A 19372-nucleotide genomic window follows, 5' to 3' on the forward strand; every position below is an offset into this window, starting at 1 on the left:
ACGTACTTGTAAAGTTCCCATCTGCCTACCAGCTAGGTGTCAGACATTACATGTGGTAGGCACTTGAGGATTTACTGAATGACTTTAAATCCACACTGGGCCTGTGTGTGTGCTGCCTTTTATGAGTGTGAAGGTGACAACACTGCCTCTTTTCATGATGCCCTTGGCTGAGATGACCATCATTCTTGTGACTAAAACTGGGCTGTACATTTCTATGGGCACAGTAGGTAGCAGAAGTATCTGACCTATGATTGTGATATGGCCTCTTGCTCTGCCTGATCAAGCAAAGTCTCTGTAGAACATAAGAATAAAAGGCACTTACTTTCTGGTCAAAACCAGAAGAAACCTGTCATTCCTAAGAGTTCTTATTACAGCACTCAAACTAAGCTAAATCAAAGGCCAGTGCTCTATTTTGCAGATTTACATAGAAAGACTTGAAAGTTATGCTGATATTGACATTTGTCCAACCAAACTAGAAGAGGATTGTCTTGTCACCCATTTATCTTGCTGTGGAGCGATGACCATGAGGTTGCAGGGAGTGTGAAAAACTGCAGGCTCTCTGAGAACATTTAATCTGATGACATGTGAGTTTGTAAGGTTTTTGTGAACTTTCTGATAATTTTTCAATATTTTTTTGCTCCCATAAACTTAACACTTTAAGAAATATTTTTAAAGGTTACATTGTGCAGATGATGGAAATGGACATGAAAACCACATCTTTCTATTAGCTTTAGAATAACAGTTCATAGTTTTCATTGTTCATTGGTAGGTCTTGGTAAATTGCTCTTGTAATAATCTGCTCATAAATTGAAAAGTATTTTTCTGGTGATTTTTGGCAGTTATCTTCCAAGTATACTACCAGAACATAATAGTACAGTAAATATCTTTATGGCTTTCTAGAGGCCGTCTGCAAGTTCCAGTCTCTCTTTAAGGTGCACATGTCTGGCCTTTGAAATAATTGGCCGCTGACAGGTCTAGGGCCTCTAGACTGTGAAAAATGTGTAGCTTCACCCTGAGTCATACATTGTGCATTTGCTCTTGCTGGTGTTTCCGCTGCCTTTATCTGAAGATCTGTTTTATAGAAACCTTGACATACAGAATAGCCACAGATCCCTGTGCCCCTATCCCCTCCCCCAGGAGTGTTGCCTGTGTTTAGAGATTGGGCTGATGAGTTAGAAGCTCTCCTCAGGCAGTCTGAGAAACATTGCATTGCTGGACATCACCCAATGCTCACCTCACTCAAGAGCTTCCTAGGGCACTCATACAACCACAACAGCACTTTGGGGTCCTTGAGTTACCTATGAGAGTGCAATAAATCTTGCTGAGTCAGGGGGTTGCTCACAGATGGCACCAACTGGACACAGAAACATGAGCTTCATGGGGTCTTTCTTCCAGTCTGGCCTCATGACTGCTGTAAAGGGAAGGGCCTTGGAGCTGGTAGGCAGGGTGAGCCAGGGAGGCATTTTTAGCAAAGGCTCTCAGAGTGCCCACTGGACAGTGAGAATGGCTTTGTGGGTGACGCTTAGGAAAATATGAAGGAACACCTCATATGAAGATCAAGATCGTGACAGGCAGTGGCGCGAGGTTTTGTTTGTTTGTTTGTTTGTTTTACATTTGCCTGTAGGTAAGACTGTCATTCAGAATGTATGCAGCCACAGAAGTGGAGCCTGATGGCTAAGTAGAAATCTCTGCCAGCTGTGCTCCCCACAGGAATAGCCTCAGCAGTGGACCTGTGGTGAGGAGAGAGTCCGTGCTTGGCGGAGGGAGAGCACAGCAGCTGTGGGACTTTGCACTGAACTCAGTGCTGCCTTGTTGTAGCAGAAAGCAAAACAAGGTTGCACTCATCTGATGCCTCCACCCACGGAGGAAACATTTACACTAGTGCCCACCCACGGAGGGAACATTTACACTAGTGCCCACCCACGGAGGGAACATTTACACTAGTGCCCACCCACAGAGGAAACATTTACACTAGTGCTAGCCAGAAGGGAATTGTTTATCCCAGTGGTTGGAACTTGAGTTGTGGAAAGCCTGGCTACTGCAGGATAAAGTACTCGGGGTCCTTAATAAACCTGAAAGGCTGTCTAAGCCACAAGGACTGCAACTCTTAGGCAAGTCCTAGTGCTGTGCCGCGCTTGGAGCCAGTGTATTTGGGGGCATGTGACCTAGAGAAACAGCAGCTAGGGCAGCTATGGAGTGCTTGCCCACCCCTCCTCCAACCCTAGACAGTGCAGCTCGCAGCTCTGACAGAGACCTCTTTCTTCCGCTTGAGGAGAGGAGAGAGGAGAGGACTTTGTCTTGCATCTTGGATACTAGCTTACAGTAGGAGGGGGCACTGGTCAGAGTCATGAGACCCCCCTTTCAGGTCTCAGCTTTGGGATAACATCTCTAGACAAACTCTGGGCTACAAGGGAACCTGCTTCCTTGAAGGGAAGGACTCAGTAATGGCAGGATTCTTCACTATCTGACTAAAGAGCCCTTGGGCCTTGAATAATCAGCAGTGGTAACCAGGTAGTACATGCCATGGGCCTCGAGTGAGACTCAGAGATGTGCTGGCATCAGGTGTGACCCCGCACATTCCCAGCTGTGGTGTCTGTGAGGAGAGACTCCCTCTGCTTGAGAAAAGCCGAAGGCAGAGTAAAGAGGATTTTTCTGGAGCTTAGACACCAGCTCAGCTACAGTGGAGAAGAGCACCCAGTGGACTGTTGGAGTCCCTGATTCAGGCCTTGGCTCTTAGATGGCATCTCTGGACTTAGCCTGGGCCAGAGGGGAGCCCACTGTCCTGAAGAGTGAGTTCCAGGCCAGACAGCATTCACCACAAGCTGACTGAGAGCCCTGAGGCATTAAGTGAACATCAGTGGTGAGCTGGCAGTAATCCGCATGAGACTGTGATGACGTCGTAGGTGGGAACAGACTACCCTGCCTGGGGAGAGGGGAGGGGAGAGTGGGAAGGGATTTGCCGGGTGGATTCAGTGCCAGCTCAGCGATGGTAGAACAGAACACCAGGTAGATTTATAAGGTTTATGACTGAGAGCCCTGGCTCTCAGACAGCACCTTTGAATGCATCTAGGGACCAGGGGAGCTTACTGCACTGAAGGGAAGGACAGAAGCCTGGCTGGCTTCACTACCTGCTAATTGGAGAGCCCTGGGGCCTTGAGTGAAATAGGTGGCAGCTGGGTTGTTGTTACAGTGGGGGTCTTGGGCAGTCACAGCGCTGTGCCGGCTTCAGGTCTGACCCAGTGCTGTCCCAGTGGTGGTGGCTACAGGGGTGTTGTATTGCTCCTCTCCCAACTCCAGGCAGCCTAGCACAAAGAGAGAGAGACTTCATTTGTGGGAAAGTAAGGGAAGAAGTCAGTCTCTGCCTGCTAATCCAGACAATTCCTCCAGGTCTGATCCAAGACCACCAATGTGGTGCCTCCACAAGTCTGCAAAAACCAATGACATTCTTCACAGAAATAGAAATTTAAAAATGAATCCTAAAATGTATATACAACTACAAAAGACTCAGAATATCCAAAGCTACCCTGAGCAAAAAACAAACAAAACTGGAGGAATCACATTATCTTATTTCAAATTATACCGTACAGCTATGGTAACCAGAACAGCATGGCACTGGCATAAAAACAGACACATAGACCAATGGAACAGAATAGAAAACCCAGAAACCGATTCATACATCTGCAGTGAACTCATTTTCAACAAAGGTGCCGAGAACATACAATGGGGAAATGACAGTCTCGCCAATAAGTGGTGCTGGGAAAACTGGATATCCATATGCAGAAGAATGAAACTAGACCTCTATTTCTCATCTTATGCAAACATAAAATCAAAGTGGATTAAAGATTTAAATCTTGGCTGGTGCAGAGGCTCACGCCTGTAATCCCAGCACTTTGGGAGGCTGAGAGAGGAGGATTGCTTGAGCCCAGAAGTTCAAGACCAGCCTGGGAAACACAGTGAGTTTCTGTCTCTATTTCTTAAAAAAAAAATTTTAAAAAAGATTTAAATCAAAGACCTCAAATATAAAACTAAAATAAAACATTGGGAAAACTCTCCAGGATATTGGACTGGGCAAATATTTCTTGAATAATATTTTATAAGCACAGGCAGCCAAAGCAAAAATGGGCAAATTGGGTCACATCAAGTTAAAAAGCTTCTGCACAGCAAAAGAAACAATCAGCAAAGTGAAGAGACAACCCACAGAATGGGGGAAGATATTTGAAAACTATCTGACAAGGGATTAATTACCAGAATGTTTAAGAAGCTTAAATAACTCAGTAGAAAAAAATCTAATCATCTGATTTTTAAAATGGGCAAAATATCTGAATACACATTTCTCAAAAGAAGACACATTAGCAAGGCATGGGGGCATGTGCCTGTAGTTTCAGCTGTTTGGGAGAATTAAGGGCAAAAATTACCTGAGCCCAGGAGGTTGAGGCTGCAATGAACTGTGATTGTGCCACTGCACTCCAACCTGAGTGACAAAGTGAGATCCTGTTTCAAAAATAAAAAAGGCATACACATGGGAAATAGGTATATGAAAAGATACTCAACATCAACATCATTGATTGTCAGAGAAATGCAAATCAAAATTACAGTGAGGGATCATCTCACCCCATTTAAAATGGCTTTTATTCAAAAGACAGGCAATAGCAAATGCTGGTGAGGATATAGAGAAGAGGTAACCATCGTACACTGTTAGTGGGAATGTAATTTAGTACAACCACTATAGAGAACAGTTTGGAGGTTCTCAAAACTAAAAATAGAGCTACCATATGATCCAGCAATCCCACTGCTGGGTATATACCTAAGAGAAAGGAAATCAGTATTATCAAAGAGATACTTGCACTCTCATGGATATTGCAGCACTGTTCACAACAGCCAAGATTTGGAAGCATCCCGAGTGTCCATCAACAGATGAGTAGCCAAAGAAAATGTACATATACACAATGGAGTACTTACTATTCAACCATAAAAGAGAATGAGATCCTGTTATTTGCAGCAACATGGATGGAAATGTTAAGTGAAATAAGCGAAGCAAGAAAGACAAACTTCACATGTTTTCACTTATTTGTGGGAGCTAAAGTAGAATTGTTGGCAGAGGCTAGTAAAGGTAGTATGGGGGATGGGGGGTAAAGAGTAATGGTTAATAGGCACACACACATAGTTAGAAAGAATAAATAAGGTCCAGTATTTGATAGCAAAACAGGTTGACTACTGTCAATAATTATTTAATCGTACATTTTATAGTGCCTAAAATAGTATAATTGAATTATTTGTAAAACAAAGGATAAATGCTTGAGGTGTGATGGATACTTCATTTACCCTACAGTTACACATTGTAGGCCTGTATCAAAATATTTTATATACCCCATAAATACATACACCTACAGTGTACCAACAAATTTTTTAGAAGACTGTCATTCAGAATTACCACACTGTATATTTACAAGTGAAGCGAGGCTTCTTGTGACTAAGAAGAGACTAGTGATGGTTTGTTTCTGTTGAAATGGCTGCTAAATTACCACTTTGCTAATAGTATATAAACTGAGTTGTCATGGTGATATTGCTAATAGCCATTTTAGCAAAGGACATAACAGCAAATGAATTTGAAACAAATAGGTGTACTTTGAAAGTTGAAGAAGCTAGTGTGCCTTTAATCACTACAGTTTTCGTCACTGTATAAACTGGTTTCTTGAAGGAAGCAAAATTCATAATTATGAACACTTAGCTCTGCTATAATGGCAGCTAAATTGTTCTCAAAACCTGCAACTAATCTGGCGGCGGTGGGTGGCTCTAGCTCTAGTTACAAGGTCAGAAAATACACAGGGAAATGTGCAGGTTTCCATAGATGTGAGCTCCAGAAGCAGTGGTGGCAGAGGCCAGCTCCAAGATGCCCAGTTCTACACAATGCTATTTGTGAACGCAGAAGCACCAGGAACTATGCTCCAAACAGTAGCAATGTTCATGATCTTTGGAAATTGAAAAACATTACAACAAAGTACTTAACATACATTTATCTTGTCCCTCTGTTGATTATTTATAATGGTCTCTTTTTGACTGTAAATTGAACCATTTAAAAATTAGCGTCTATCAGATTTTTCTTAAAACTTTTTGACATCTATTTGTCTTTTTAGAATATATTTTCTTTCAGGAACATTACTAATTATCAGGGAAATGCAAACGAAAACCACAATGTGATACGACCTTGCTCCTGCAGGAATGGCCATAATTTAAAAATAAAAAAAAAAAAATACATGTTGGCTTGGATTTGGTGAAAAGGGAACACTTTTACACTGCTGATGGGAATGTGAACTAGTACAACCACTATGGAAAACGGTGTGGGGATTCTTTGAAGAACTAAAAGTAGAACTGCTATTCAACCCAGCAATCTCTCACTACTGGGTATCTACCCAAAGGAAAATAAGTTATGAAAAAGACACATGCACAAGCATGCTAATAGCAGCACAATTTGCAATTGCAAAAATATGGAGTCAGCCTAAATGCCCATCAATTAATGGTGAGCAAAAGAAAATATAGAATATATGCACCACGGAATACTGCTGAGCCATAAAATGGAATGAAATAATGGCCTTTGCAGCAACTTGGATGGAGCTGGCGGCCATTATTCAAAGTGAAGTAACTCAGGAATGGAAAACCAAATATCATATGTTCTCACTTATAGGTGGGAGCTAAGCTATGAGGATGCAAAGGCATAAGAATGATATAGTGGACTTTGGGGACTTGGGGAGGAAGGTCGGGAGGGGGTTGAAGGATAAAAGATTACATATTGGGTACAGTGTACACTGCTCAGGTGGTAGGTGCACCAGAAGCTCCTAAATCATCCCTAAACAACTTATCCATGTAAGCAAAAACCACCTGTACCTCAAAAACTATTGAAATAAAATTAAAAACCATTATTGGTAAACAAATATATATATATGCATATGTACATATACACATACATACACACACATATATTTGTTTATATATAAATATATAAAACGTATATATATATATTTTATATATATATACACATTTAATTCAAACTGAGCAGCTCCTATTCAGAAAATTTGCTGTTCCTGTAAAGGGTATGCTATTCAGCCATTTAAAAAACAACAAAAACTGAGAAGATATATCTGTAGGCATAATGGTTTTCTTCGATAACTAAGCCTCTATTAATAAACATGATGATTCTATAAAACACTATATTTTACACAATTAAAATATGTTTTTGGAAAAACATAAAAGAGTTTATGAAGTGCATATATTCCTATAGTAAATTAAGTCCTGATTAGCTGATTATTAAAACATTATCTGACTTACATTTCTATAGCCTTATGGTTATATGAATAAGAAATTAATGCTGGAAGGAGATTTAGTCAGGTTTTCAGTTAAACAAATGAGAAAACAACATATCTGCTTATATCTTAACTACTCTTCATACCAGAGAACATCAAGCATTTGTTGACTTAGCCAGTGGATAAAACATTAAAATTTTAAAACCAAGAAACCAAATGTGTTGTTCAGGTATTGATTATTTTTATACAATTAAGTCTTTACTTAATTTCACAGTAAGGAATTACTGTGAAAGTGGTAAGATTACTCTAGTTTTATATTTATTTAAACATTTGACAAAGTGCTGGATACAGTGGCTCATGTCTGTAATACTAGCACTTTGGGAGGCCAAGGTGGGAGTATCACTTGATCACAGGAGTTTAAGGCCAGCCTGGGCAAAAAGTGAGACCCTATCTCCACAAAAAGAACTAAAAAAAAAAAAAAAAAAAAAATCCCAGCTCAGTGACATGAGCCTGTAGTCCCAGCTACTTGAAAGGCTTAGGTGAATGGATCACTTGAGGCTGGGAGTTTGAGTCTGCTGTGAGCTAGGATCATGCCACTGCACTTTAGCCTGGGTGACAGAGCAAGACCCTGTCTCTTAAAATTTAAAAAAAAAATGAGAAAACACCTTTGGCCAGGGCAGCTGAATAATCATGTGGTAGAGGGCTGCTCCCAGCCTGTTCTTCTCTCAGTGCATTCAACTCATCCCCACATTCTCTTCTGACCAGGGTGACAGATGCTGAACACCTTAGAGTTTCATTTCCAACTCGGGAGAAACATTGTGTGGTATGGTTTGGCTGTGTCCCACCCAAATCTCATCTTGAATTCCCACATGTTATGGGAGGGACCCAGTGGGAGTTAACTGAATAATGGAGACAGGTCTTTCCTGTGTTGTTCTCATGATAGTGAATAAGTCTCATGAGATCTGATGGTATTATAAGAGGGAGTTTCCCTACACAAGCTCGTCTGTTTGCCTGCTGCCATCCTTGTAAGACATGACTTGCTCCTCCTTGCCTTTTGCAGTGATTGTGAGGTCTCCCCAGCCATGTGGAACTGTAAGTCCAATAAACCTCTTTCTTTTGTAAATTGACCAGTCTTGGGTATGTCTTCATCAGCAGTGTGAAAACAGACTAATACAGTAAATTGATACCAGTAGAGTGGGGTGCTACTGAAAAGAAACCCGAAAATATGGAAGCAACTTTGGAACTGGGTAACAGGCAGAGGTTGGAACAGTTTGGAGGACTCAGAAGAAGACAGGAAAATATGGGAACGTTTGGAACTCTCTAGAGACTTCTTTAACGGCTTTGACCAAAATGTTGATAATGATATGGACAATCCAGGCTGAGGTGGTCTCAGATGGAGATGAGGAACTTGTTGGGAACTGGAGCAAAAGTGACTCTTGTTATGTTTTAGCAAAGAGACTGGCAGTATTTTCGCCCCACCCTAGAGATTTCTGGAACTTTGAACTTGAGAGAAATGATTTAGGGTATCTGGCAGAAGAAACTTCCAAGCAGCAAAGCATTCAAGATGTGTCTTGGGTGTTGCTAAAGGCATTCTGTTTTAAAAGGGACACAGAGCATAAAAGTTTGGAAAATTTGCAGCCTGACAATGTGATAGAAAAGAAAATCCCATTTTCTGAGGAGAAATTCAAGCCACCTGCAGAAATTTGCATAAGTAATGAGGAGCCAAATGTAAGTCACCAAGACAACAGGGAAAATGTCTCCAGGGCATGTCAGAGACCTTTGTGGCAGCCCCTCCCATCACAGGCCTGGAGGTTTAAGAGGAAAAATTGTTTTGTGGGCTGTGCCCGGGGTTCCTCAGCTGTGTGCAGTCTAGGAACTTGGCGCCCTGTGTCCCAGCTGCTCCTGCCATGACTAAAAGGGGCCAAAATACAGCTTGGGCTGTTGCTTCAGAGGGTGGAAGCCCCAAGCCTTGGAAGCTTTTATGTGGTGTCGAGCCTGCAGGTGCACAGAAGTCAAGAATTGAAGTTTGGGAACCTCCACCTAGATTTCAGAAGATGTATGGAAAGGCCTGGATGACCAAGCAAAAGTTTGCTGCTGGGGTGGGGCCCTCATGGAGAACCTCTGCTAGGGCAGTGTGGAAGGGAAATGTGGGGTCGGAGCCCCCATACAGAGTCGCTACCTGGGCACCGCCTTGTGGAGCTATGAGAAGAGGGCCACCATCCTTCAGACCCCAGAATGGTAGATCCACTGACAGCCTGCACCGTGTGCCTGGAAAAACCCCACTCAATGCCAGCCCATGAAGGCAGCTAGGAGGGGGGGTTATACCCTGCAAAGCCACAAGGGCAGAGCTGCCCAAACCATGGGAACCCATGTCTTGCATCAGCAAGACCTGGATGTGAGACATGGAGTCAAAGGAGATCACTCTGGAGCTTTAAGATTTGACTGCCCTGCTGGATTTCGGACTTGCCTGGGGCCTGTAGCCCCTTTGTTTTGGCCAATTTCTCCCATTTGGAATGACTGTATTTATCCAATGCCTGTACCCCCATTGTATCTAGGAAGTAACTAATTTGCTTTGGATTTTACAGGCTGATAGGCAGAAGGGACTTGCCTTGTCTCAGATGAGACTTTGGACTGTGGACTTGTGAGTTAATGCTGAAATGAGTTAAGACTTTAGGGAACTGTTGGGAAGGCATGATTGGTTTTGAAATGTGAGGACATGAGATTTGGGAGGGACCAGGACAGAATGATATGGTTTGGCTGTGTTCACACCCAAATCTCATCTTGAATTTCCACGTGTTGTGGGAGGGACCTGGTGGGAAGTAATTGAATAATAGAGGCAGGTCTTTCCCATGCTGTTCTTGTGATAGTGAATAAGTCTCATGAGATCTGACAGTATTATAAGGAGTTTCCCTATACAAGCTTTTCTCTGCCTGCTGCCATCCACATAAGACATGACTTGCTCCTTCTTGCCTTCTGCCGTGATTGTGAGGCCTCCCCAGCCATGTGGAACTGTGAATCCAGTAAACCTCTTTCTTTTGTAAATTGCCCTGTCTCGGGTATTTATGCTTTATCAGCATAAATGCTTTATCAGCAGCATGAAAACAGACTAATACACTGTGCAAGTCCAACACCCTACCAAAAGGCATATCATAAAACGGGTTTAGTCTAGCCAAGATGTCTCTCTTTGATCTTTCCGCTTTCCTAAGTTTAAAGAGTTTTACTGCCCTGTAATAGTGACGACTAGTAAATGGCATCCACCGTTTCTCTCATCTGATCACTATTGTGGTGCTCTGTGAGTGAGCATGGAGTCTGAGTTGTGCAGCTGCACTAAGGGAACTCTGAAGAATGAGCCCTATATCATCAGCATGGGTGCATTAGAGGCTGTCACCTTTCTGCTTGTCCCAAACTTGGGGTGCTGGATGCAGAATGGACTGCAAGCAGCTGTGTCCTGTTTGGACATTAGTGTAGGAATCCAACTGCATAGCCTTCATTTGTTTCAAAGCAGAATTTAGAGCCATTCTAGTAGCTCACTGTGATATTTTTAAATAAATGGAGAAAAATTTTATTAACTGACTTAACAAAAAAACACTGCCTATTAAACTCATATAGTATTGTTTAGAGAGTATCTACAAAATTCTAACCTCGATGTTTTCTTGCAAAAGAAGTGGAAATAAGTAGAGAGACTCTCTCAAAGAATCGCTGAGAAACACAAAATATTCATAAGTAGTATAAGATTTACTTATGTGCATTTTTGAAGATTATACAATAATCAATTTGCATCAGGCTTTCCAATTTAGGAATACTGATAGGATTTCCCTGTAGGGGGAGTTTTCACATAAATTTTGAAGAAATCATTAAAACTGAAAACTTTCCTGTATTTTGTAGTCTACTGGAGTTCCAATCCAGTGTGCTTTCTTATATTTATAAGGCCAGTCTACAATGTGTGTTATCATAGGTCTTGGAGCAAATATCACGTAAATGAAGGCATTTCTGCATTCTATACATTCATAGGTTTTATTTCAGAAACGAGTTCTTGTCTTCATGTGGAACTGGAACAACTGACGACCCTACCACATGTTTGTATTTATAAGGGTTTTCTCCCTTGAATCCTTTCATGTTTTCAAAGAAATGAAAAAGCTGAAGGCTTGACTATGTTTCTTAAGATTATGTAGTTTTTCTACGTATTAAAATTCAACTATGCCTTTGAAAAGATGTGGGAAAATCAAGTTCATTAACACGTTTTTTACATTCATTATTTTTTCCAATACAAGTTTTTCTAAGTTTTCAAAGAGAACTGGGAAAGTTGAATGCTTTCTTGTGTTTCTTTCATCGATAGGGTTCTGTACAGTGTGAGTTCTTTTATGTGTTCTAATAAACTAGAGCATATGACGGCTTTACCACATTTCTTACATGAGAATAATGTTTTTGAAGATAGCCCAGTTGACTAACATTGTCCTGTGTTGGTTTTGTTGTGTTTCTCCTTCCCCAGGCTTGAGTTGGGAAACCAGTTCTCCCACTTCATTAATAATGATGTCGATGTTCCTGGCAGTGTTTATACCAAATGCTACTTTGACCTTTGCGCCTTGGCACACGACAGTAGCCTATATTTGCCATTTTGTCTTCTTGACATAGAAAGAGCATGGGAACTGAAGGTAAGGCTATGAAGGTACTAAGTGGGCTTTCAGTCAAACACCAATGCCAACATCTGCAACTAGATCATATTAAGAAGTGATTAGAAAAATGAAAAGCTTCAAAATTAACATACTGAAGAGCTTATTAACCTTTTTGGCATGTAGTTTATGGTTTATACAAAGATTCACATTATTTAAAAGTTATAGATATCATCTCTTCTGTAACCATAATTCAGAATATTTTAATCAAGTTTAATTCATCCTTAATGGTTTTCCTTTTGAACTGCTACCCTTTCAAATAATCATACATAAGTGATTTCTTGCAGTTGTATTCCTAATATCTACATATATAATGCACTTAACATTCTTTACTATTTGTTATCATTTAGTTTGCAAATTTATATCATTTTCTACTGTAATATACCACAGTGCAGTGAGTCCCATGAGTTTGTTAGACAAAGCATTAGTGCCTAAGCCAAGAGACCTGCACTTAGACTGTATAAGGTATGTGTGTCTCAAGTACTGGATGCAGGAAGTACATGGGATTCTACCGGAAATGATAACTTTTATGGGGCAAAGTAATATTTATGGTTTGTGACTTTCGGTGAGTACACAGCAAAATTACTCACAACTGACATGGATGAACATTTAAAATAGGCATTTTCGGTAGTAGCTGGGAAGTATTTTGAAATAATACATTTTCTACCATAATTAATGTCCAAGTGAAGTAACACCTTTTGATGCTTTAGTCATTAGACTTATTTGACATTCCAATGCAGTCCAGCACATACCTGCTTCATTAAAATTTGCTTTGAGTATATAATAACTACTACAGATTGGGTAGAATTTGAATACATTCATAAACTAACTTTTGCAAAAGTGTGCATTCATTATGTTTAAGGAACAAGTGCACAGGTAACAGATGATACTGCTGTTAGAAGACTGTCACAATACTGTGACATCTTTAGGAGCCCAATTTTTAAATAACTTAATAAAACAAGTTCCCCCTTTGCTCCAGCAATCTAATTATAGCCCTTAAAGGAGACTACCTTAGAGAGTTGACAGAACTTGGCATTGTAAACCTCAGCCAAAATAGCTGTTACTGAACTATCTAAGGGAGTCTGCATGTGTGGCTTATCATCAATGGTGATTGTTACAGGTTGGAATCCTTTTTGAAATTGTACCTCTTTTCTATTTGATTGTCTTTCTTAGGTTGTTTCAAGGTTGGAAGACAAAGACTTCTATGGTACTGCCAACAAAAGGAAAAGGTCTTTGAGTTCTGATGATTTAATTGATCTTCAGTGCCTTAAGGCCATCCTCTCCTGAAGGAAGAAGTGAGGGGTTATATAACATCTGAACCCCTCATCAAAAAAGACAGGAAAATATCACCTTTCCTGCTGAAGAACTAGAAAAGTACTTTCAAAAGAAGAAACACCTACAATTCAAGTTAACTCAAGGACAACTAGGATTGCACTTCATAGAAAAGAATGGGACCTTGTCAATGCAACAACACACTCTTACACTCTTCTGTCCCTTTTAATGTAAAGAGAGTTATAAAAACCACTCCAAAGTGAAGGCTCCTATGTGAGCTGATAGCAGTGAACTATGTAAGGGTTTAAAACAATGGTTTAAATTTTTAGATTTTAAAGATAACTTTTCTGTTTCTTTTATATTTTTCTTTCCCCCAATATTGCTGCATATGCATTTAGCATCATATTACCATTAAAACATAGGACTCTTAACAACTCATAAAGCCACTAGGAGCAGATGCAGCATTGTCAGGTACTGAAGGGGCTCTTCCTTCCTACTCTTAGAATCGAAGCTACTAGTTACTGGCAATCATTTTAAGCAAAAGCTTCTGGATAACATTTGCCATTCATATCCTCTGTAAGCACTTCTTATTAGCAGTTAGCATGTTTGGGGTCATAAAAAGAGAAAATATTGGTTATTGATTATCTACTTTTATTAGGGTCTGTGGTGTATTTCTTGTGAACTATAATGGTTCTCATTTGCTGATAAATTTTCTTATTTTTTAAATAAAGGTATTAAAAGATGTTTTCATAGTGCCAAGCAACATGGTGATCCAGTGGTAATAAAAAATGATAAAACATGAGGTGTCCTGAAAGTTTCAGGACAGTTTTTAGCTTTAACATAGTATGCTTGTGCCCTCCAGAGCACTGAAGCATACATATGCAGGCTATAAACCTTTACAAAATATAATTTGAAATTTTAATTGTATTTCTTCTTTTTTTTTTTAAATAGATGTTGTCTCAGTATGTTACCCAATGTACAGTGCAATGATTATTCAGAGGCACAGTCATAGCATACCACAGCCTGGAAATCCTGGCCTCAAGCAATCCTCCCATGTCAGCCTACCAAGCAGCTGGGACTATAGGTGTGTACCACCACCTCTGGCTTCATTTTGCAGAATTTGAATATTAAGCATTTAACTTTTTGTCTCATCAATATCTGCTATCGTCAAGAAGGACTGAAACAAAAAATTAAAGGTTAATATTCAGGAGCTAGGCATGCCTGTAGTCCCAGCTACTCATAAGGCTTAAATGGCAGGATCACTTGAGGCCTAGCATTGGAGGCTGCAGTGCGCTGTGATTGTGCCTGGAAATAGCCATTGCACTCCAGCCTTGGCAACATACTGAGACCCTGTCACTCTAAAAAATGGCAAAACTAAATAAAGGTAAAAGAAATATAACAAACCTTTCAGTGATGCTTTGTAAATATTTGTAGCATTGATACTTCTACAAGTATCAAAGCTTAAAATTACACTAAGCCTTTTGGAATTGTTGTATTTTTATAAAGTGCCCTTTTCTCTTTTGAAGTAGTTCTTTGCAGGGCTTTCATCTGCATTGATCACCCAAAATTATTTTCTCTAGATGTGATACAGAATAGGATCAGTTTTAATGCACATGTAACAAATTTGAAGGAACTGGACCTTAATAGTAGTAGATGATCTAATACATTTTATTATCCCGCATGTTAACCTGGAGGCAGGTATCATATTTTATGTCCATAAACCTTAGGAACCTTACCTCCTAAAAAAATTATCATTTATGGAGTGCAGAGCTTAGAGATTGAAGTATTGACTGCAGTTTTATTTTCAAAAGGTAAATGCTACAATTTATGTGGTTTTTATTTCTCATGTTTACATTAAAAGAAAACCTAATAAACTTTTAATTAAAATGTGACTAGTGGGCCGAGCACAGTGGCTCACACCTGTAATCCTAGCACTTTGGGAGGCCAAGGCAGGTAGTTCAGAAGGTCGGGAGTTCAAGACCAGCCTGGTCAACGTGGTGAAACCTCATCTCTACTAAAAATACAGAAATTAGCTGGGTGTGGTGGCACACACCTGTAATCCCAGCTACTTTGGAGGCTGAGGCAGGAGAATTGCTTGAACCTGAGGGGCGGAGGTTGCAGTGAGCCAAGATCGCGCCACTGCACTCCAGCCTGGGCGACAGAGTGAGACTCTGTCTCAAAAAAAAAAAAAATTGTGACTAGTATGTTTTTAACTCTTCTATTCACATAGTGTTACATCTCTGCGTAACTTAAATGATTCAAGTCAGTCTTGATATGTCTTAAAGCATTTTTATAAGTTGCCTGGACTATTCACAAATTGGTTTAATCCATGCCTCTATGTAAGACATAATATTTGTTTTTTCTGGCTTAAGCTCTTTTCAATTTTAAGATAATTTATTACACTTAAAATCACTCTCTGGCCACAATACTTAGTGGCATAGCGTATTAGATGGCATCTTTGAATAGTTGGTTATTGTGTCTGAGAGGAAAAAGCATGTTAGAATATAAAATTAGGTCAATACACCAAAGAGAAAGGATTCCCAGGAATAGTGTAGAATTAGAACAAGGGTGTTTGAGGTTTTCAAACAGTTACACAGAAAAAAAGTGGAAGTACAGAAAGTAGAATTAAAGTTGTTGTACAGAGGGTGGCTCAGACCACATAATTTGACTTTAGCACACTGCTTTCAAGCTTACCTTTTAGTTAAAAATATATCAAATCACTGTTAGTTTTTTTTTTTTAGAACTAAGAGTCTAGCCACTTAGCTTCAGTGATTCTCACTAAATCCTAATAATATTGGTATATTTTCATCTACTTTAATTCTTTAGTACCTAAGGTAAAATCTTTAAATAACTCATCACCTCATCTTGATAAACTGCAGACTAGAATCAGTGATCTGATTTAGAAGAAAAAGTCTATCATGAATCCCTGTTTATAAGATGCTTTGCACCATGTAATATGCAATAACTAAGTAGAGATCCTGACATACATGAGTGGTCAAAGGTTTAAAAAACTAGTTTGGGAGAGGGGCACTGGACATAAATCCATGACTTCAAGAGTAAGTCAGGGCCAGGTGTGGTGGCTCATGCCTGTAATGCCAGCACTTTGGGAGGGTGAGGTGGGCAGATTACTTGAGTCCAGCAGTTCAACACCAGCCTGGCCAAGGTAGCAAAACCCCATCTCTACTAAAAATACAAAAATTAGCCAAGCTTGGTGGCATCTGCCGATGTTCCTAGCTCCTTGGGAGGCTGATTCATGAAAGTCGCTTGAGCCTGGGAGGCAGACGTTGCAGTGAGCAGTGAGCATGCCTGCGCTCCACCCTGGGTGACAGAGCGAGACCTTGTCTCACACACACACACAAAAGAGTAAGTCAGTAGAATAAGGACCACTAACATTGCTCTCCCCTTTGGCTTGAATTCTAGAAGGCAATACAGTCATTTTGATACATGGAAAATTGGGTCAATTTAGAATAAGAATATAAACGTGACTGAAAGTGGGCAGGTTCTCTGACAAATGTTTGGGGTATGGAAACTAAGTTTCTAGTAGGGTGGTAACTATGGCAGTTTTCTTAGAGTTTGATATCTGGGAAAGATTTGTTGTCTAACACAAGACTATGAAAAAGATTATCTGACTACCAAAGCTCAAATTTACTTTCATTTTTAGGGTTATTTCCACTTTTGTAATACAGACACCAGTGAAATTTTTAACTCTGGTATTGTGTGAACTAAAACTTTTACCTCTTCATTACAAGGAAAAGACAATAGATCACTACCCATCAATACAAAAGAACAAGCTACTAAAACATGGATGACCTGGACCTGTGACGGACTAAATGGCACTGTGTTTGACTCGTGGATCTGACACAAACTAAGTGGGTCTGGATAATTCATGGACACTCTGAGGTCCAATCTCTTAATGGTTTCAAATGAGTCACAAGTAGATGACCATAAACACCTTTCGTGAACCATCACGGTGGAATTCTGTGAGGTTAAGATATCAAGACTAGCGTGACTAGTGTCACGTGGTTATGGACAGGTGTGAGAGCAGTGCAGTGTCTTTCAAGAGTGGGAGTTGTTTAGAGATGGAGGAAACAGGATTTCCACCCTCTGCCTGCTTACCTCTTACCCCTAGACCTCCCCACAAGCTCTCCTTTGAAGTGGCCTCCTGTCTCCCCTTGGTCTTCTCAAAGCTGGTCCAGGCATTCCACTGTCACAGACTCTAGTGGTTTCTGGAGATAATGACATCACCAGATCCAGCTCATTCTGGCGGGTGGATCAAGCACTGTTTCTGGCTATGCTCCGTCCTGTCTGGGCTTTTCTGCCTCTGCTGGGAAGCTCTGGAGAGTGGTAAGGTCAGAGGGGTGTTCTCTTTCTAGGAAAGATTCCTGTTCCCAGTGGCCCCCTGCTTCCTAATTCACAAGAGCTGCTTTGCTCTACAGTGAAATTATTTCTTGGGAGCTGGGACCAGGGCCTGGGAAACAAATTTTAGGGACACAAACCTGGCCCTCTGGAATTCAATACATTGGACTGAAAACATAGACAGCTTGGTAGTGCCAGAGTGGCTAGGCGCCTTCGTGTGACCCAACGGATCTGACCAGACACTACCAGAAAGCCTAAAATATATCTGACACAAGGTAAGGTTCTACCCACATTCACTTCCCATTATTTCCCTGTGTATTTTGGGTCATGTCACTTTGCTCAGTGCTGTAAAGACCGCAGGGCTGGTTTTAGGCAGGTGTGATATTCGACAGCACCTGAGACCGGAAATAAATCACACCTGCCCTTGAACCTAAATTTCCTCACTGCTAGCTTGTGACGTGGGCGCACTGTTCCTCCAACCTGAACCTCGGTTGTTATTTTTAATGCAGACGGTTATGCCGGCCTCATAGAGTACTTGTGAGGTTTAGGTGAGTCATCCAATGAAAAGAACAAAGTGTCTTCTAAATACAATAGCAGCTGTCACTTACTCAGGGTTTAGTAACTGCACTTGGCTGTTTGCTTTACAGCCAAGTGTATGATTTACCTAAGTTTCAAAACAACGCCATGAAGCAGGCATTAACACCCTCATTTTCAGGCGAGAAACCTCTTACCCGGTTCCCGCCCTCGCCCCCCGCTTACAGGTAATAAAGCTGGAATTTATGCAGCTCTTTCGGTCTCCACAGCTCGGGGTCTTGCCACAGACACAGCGCCCACGAGTTCTGGCACTTTGGTCAACGTTTATAAACGGGCTCTCCTCTGCCGCCGCGGGCATGCGCTTTCCCCAAGGTTCGCACTGAACACCTGTTCCTAAAGGGGGCGCAGCTCCACCTGCGTCCCCGGGACCTCTAGCGTGAGGGGGTCGATCCTGGGGTCCCCCCGGGCTTCCCGTTCTCACCCTCTGAATCACAAGCCCCATTCTCACTAGAAGTTGACAGGCTGTGGGGAGACCTGGTTTCCCCGCGTCCCACTTCAGGTGAGCACCTTCCCCGCCCGCGACACCCAAGGGCCCCGGGACCACCTCTCAGCCTTAGCTAGGCGTGAAGCAGCGAGCTAAGCTTGCACATGCGCAGACGTCATCCAGAAGACCCTTTCCTAGAGTGTGGCGCGCGAGCCATTCGGATTTAAGACTACGTTTCCCAGAAACCTCCACGCCACGACTTACTTCGCAGCGTTTTCTCTATTGGATGATTGGAAGATGTTCCTGACTGCCTCGCCTGGCCAGGTTCTGCCAGAGCCCCTAGAGGTTATGGGTTAAATTTGAACTTTGCTGCCGAATACGGTGCGTGGTCCTCCATCAAATCCCGATTGGAAAAAACAGCTGCCAAACACGTTGGAAACAATTTGGGAAATGTGAATGTGTACTGGCAATTATAAATATTAAAGAACATTGCCGTTATTCTTAACTGTTAAGTGGAGTTATATTGGAAAATACTAGTTTTTATAAAGACATGCACAGGGAAGCATTTAACATTGAAAGGATAGTTAATTCACTTTACAATTTTTCAGCAAAAACTAACAAAGCGAATATGGCAAAAGGTTAACTTTTCTTAAATCAAGGACATGCATGGCTATAGATAGATGCTCATTTTACCGTTTCCTACGTTTCTGTGTGCTTAAACATTTTTCAATACAAAGGAAGAAAGAAAGAAAAACAAG

General features: G+C 41.1%; 1 protein-coding gene and 1 pseudogene across 4 annotated transcripts in view, besides 4 other annotated features; one reads left to right on the forward strand and one right to left on the reverse strand.

The window, feature by feature from the left end:
* The window catches only part of ZNF782 (zinc finger protein 782), a 117643-nt gene that overhangs the window by 40949 nt on the left and 57322 nt on the right, over positions 1-19372 (reverse strand). Inside the window, exons 1-3 of one of the 3 annotated variants that reach the window (XM_047422870.1) lie at positions 18356-18474; positions 4416-4491; positions 3129-3302 (exon numbers count right to left, since the gene is read on the reverse strand). The exons of 1 other annotated variant lie outside the window; for it this stretch is intronic. The gene's annotated coding sequence lies outside the window, so the exon portion shown is untranslated. Of the gene's footprint in view, positions 1-3128; positions 3303-4415; positions 4492-18355; positions 18475-19372 lie in introns of those variants that run through there. One more of the 3 variants, XM_011518315.3, reaches the window with a different exon arrangement.
* Positions 2755-3049: a silencer, noted in NCBI's record as "tiled region #3853; K562 Repressive non-DNase unmatched - State 23:Low". NCBI's record gives its function as "represses a minimal TATA promoter and a strong SV40 promoter by Sharpr-MPRA in K562 cells {active_cell/tissue: K562}" and the evidence as "EXISTENCE:reporter gene assay evidence [ECO:0000049][PMID:27701403]".
* Positions 2755-3049: an enhancer, noted in NCBI's record as "tiled region #3853; HepG2 Activating DNase matched - State 22:ReprW". NCBI's record gives its function as "activates a minimal TATA promoter and a strong SV40 promoter by Sharpr-MPRA in HepG2 cells {active_cell/tissue: HepG2}" and the evidence as "EXISTENCE:reporter gene assay evidence [ECO:0000049][PMID:27701403]".
* Positions 11788-15116, forward strand: LOC100132781 (cyclin Y like 1 pseudogene; annotated as a pseudogene). The gene is made up of 2 exons (NR_038890.1): positions 11788-11950; positions 13142-15116. The product of NR_038890.1 is annotated as a cyclin Y like 1 pseudogene (transcript).
* Positions 16397-16466: an enhancer, noted in NCBI's record as "active region_28655". NCBI's record gives its function as "activates an Ori minimal core promoter by ATAC-STARR-seq in GM12878 lymphoblastoid cells {active_cell/tissue: GM12878}" and the evidence as "EXISTENCE:reporter gene assay evidence [ECO:0000049][PMID:35858748]".
* Positions 16822-18021: an enhancer, noted in NCBI's record as "P300/CBP strongly-dependent group 1 enhancer chr9:99636216-99637415 (GRCh37/hg19 assembly coordinates)". NCBI's record gives its function as "activates an origin of replication core promoter dependent on BRD2, BRD4, P300/CBP, MED14 and CDK7 cofactors, with strong dependence on P300/CBP, by STARR-seq in HCT116 cells {active_cell/tissue: HCT116}" and the evidence as "EXISTENCE:reporter gene assay evidence [ECO:0000049][PMID:35650434]".

This window comes from Homo sapiens, chromosome 9 (genome assembly GCF_000001405.40).
Source record: "Homo sapiens chromosome 9, GRCh38.p14 Primary Assembly".
In the NCBI taxonomy this organism is placed as follows: domain Eukaryota; kingdom Metazoa; phylum Chordata; class Mammalia; order Primates; family Hominidae; genus Homo; species Homo sapiens.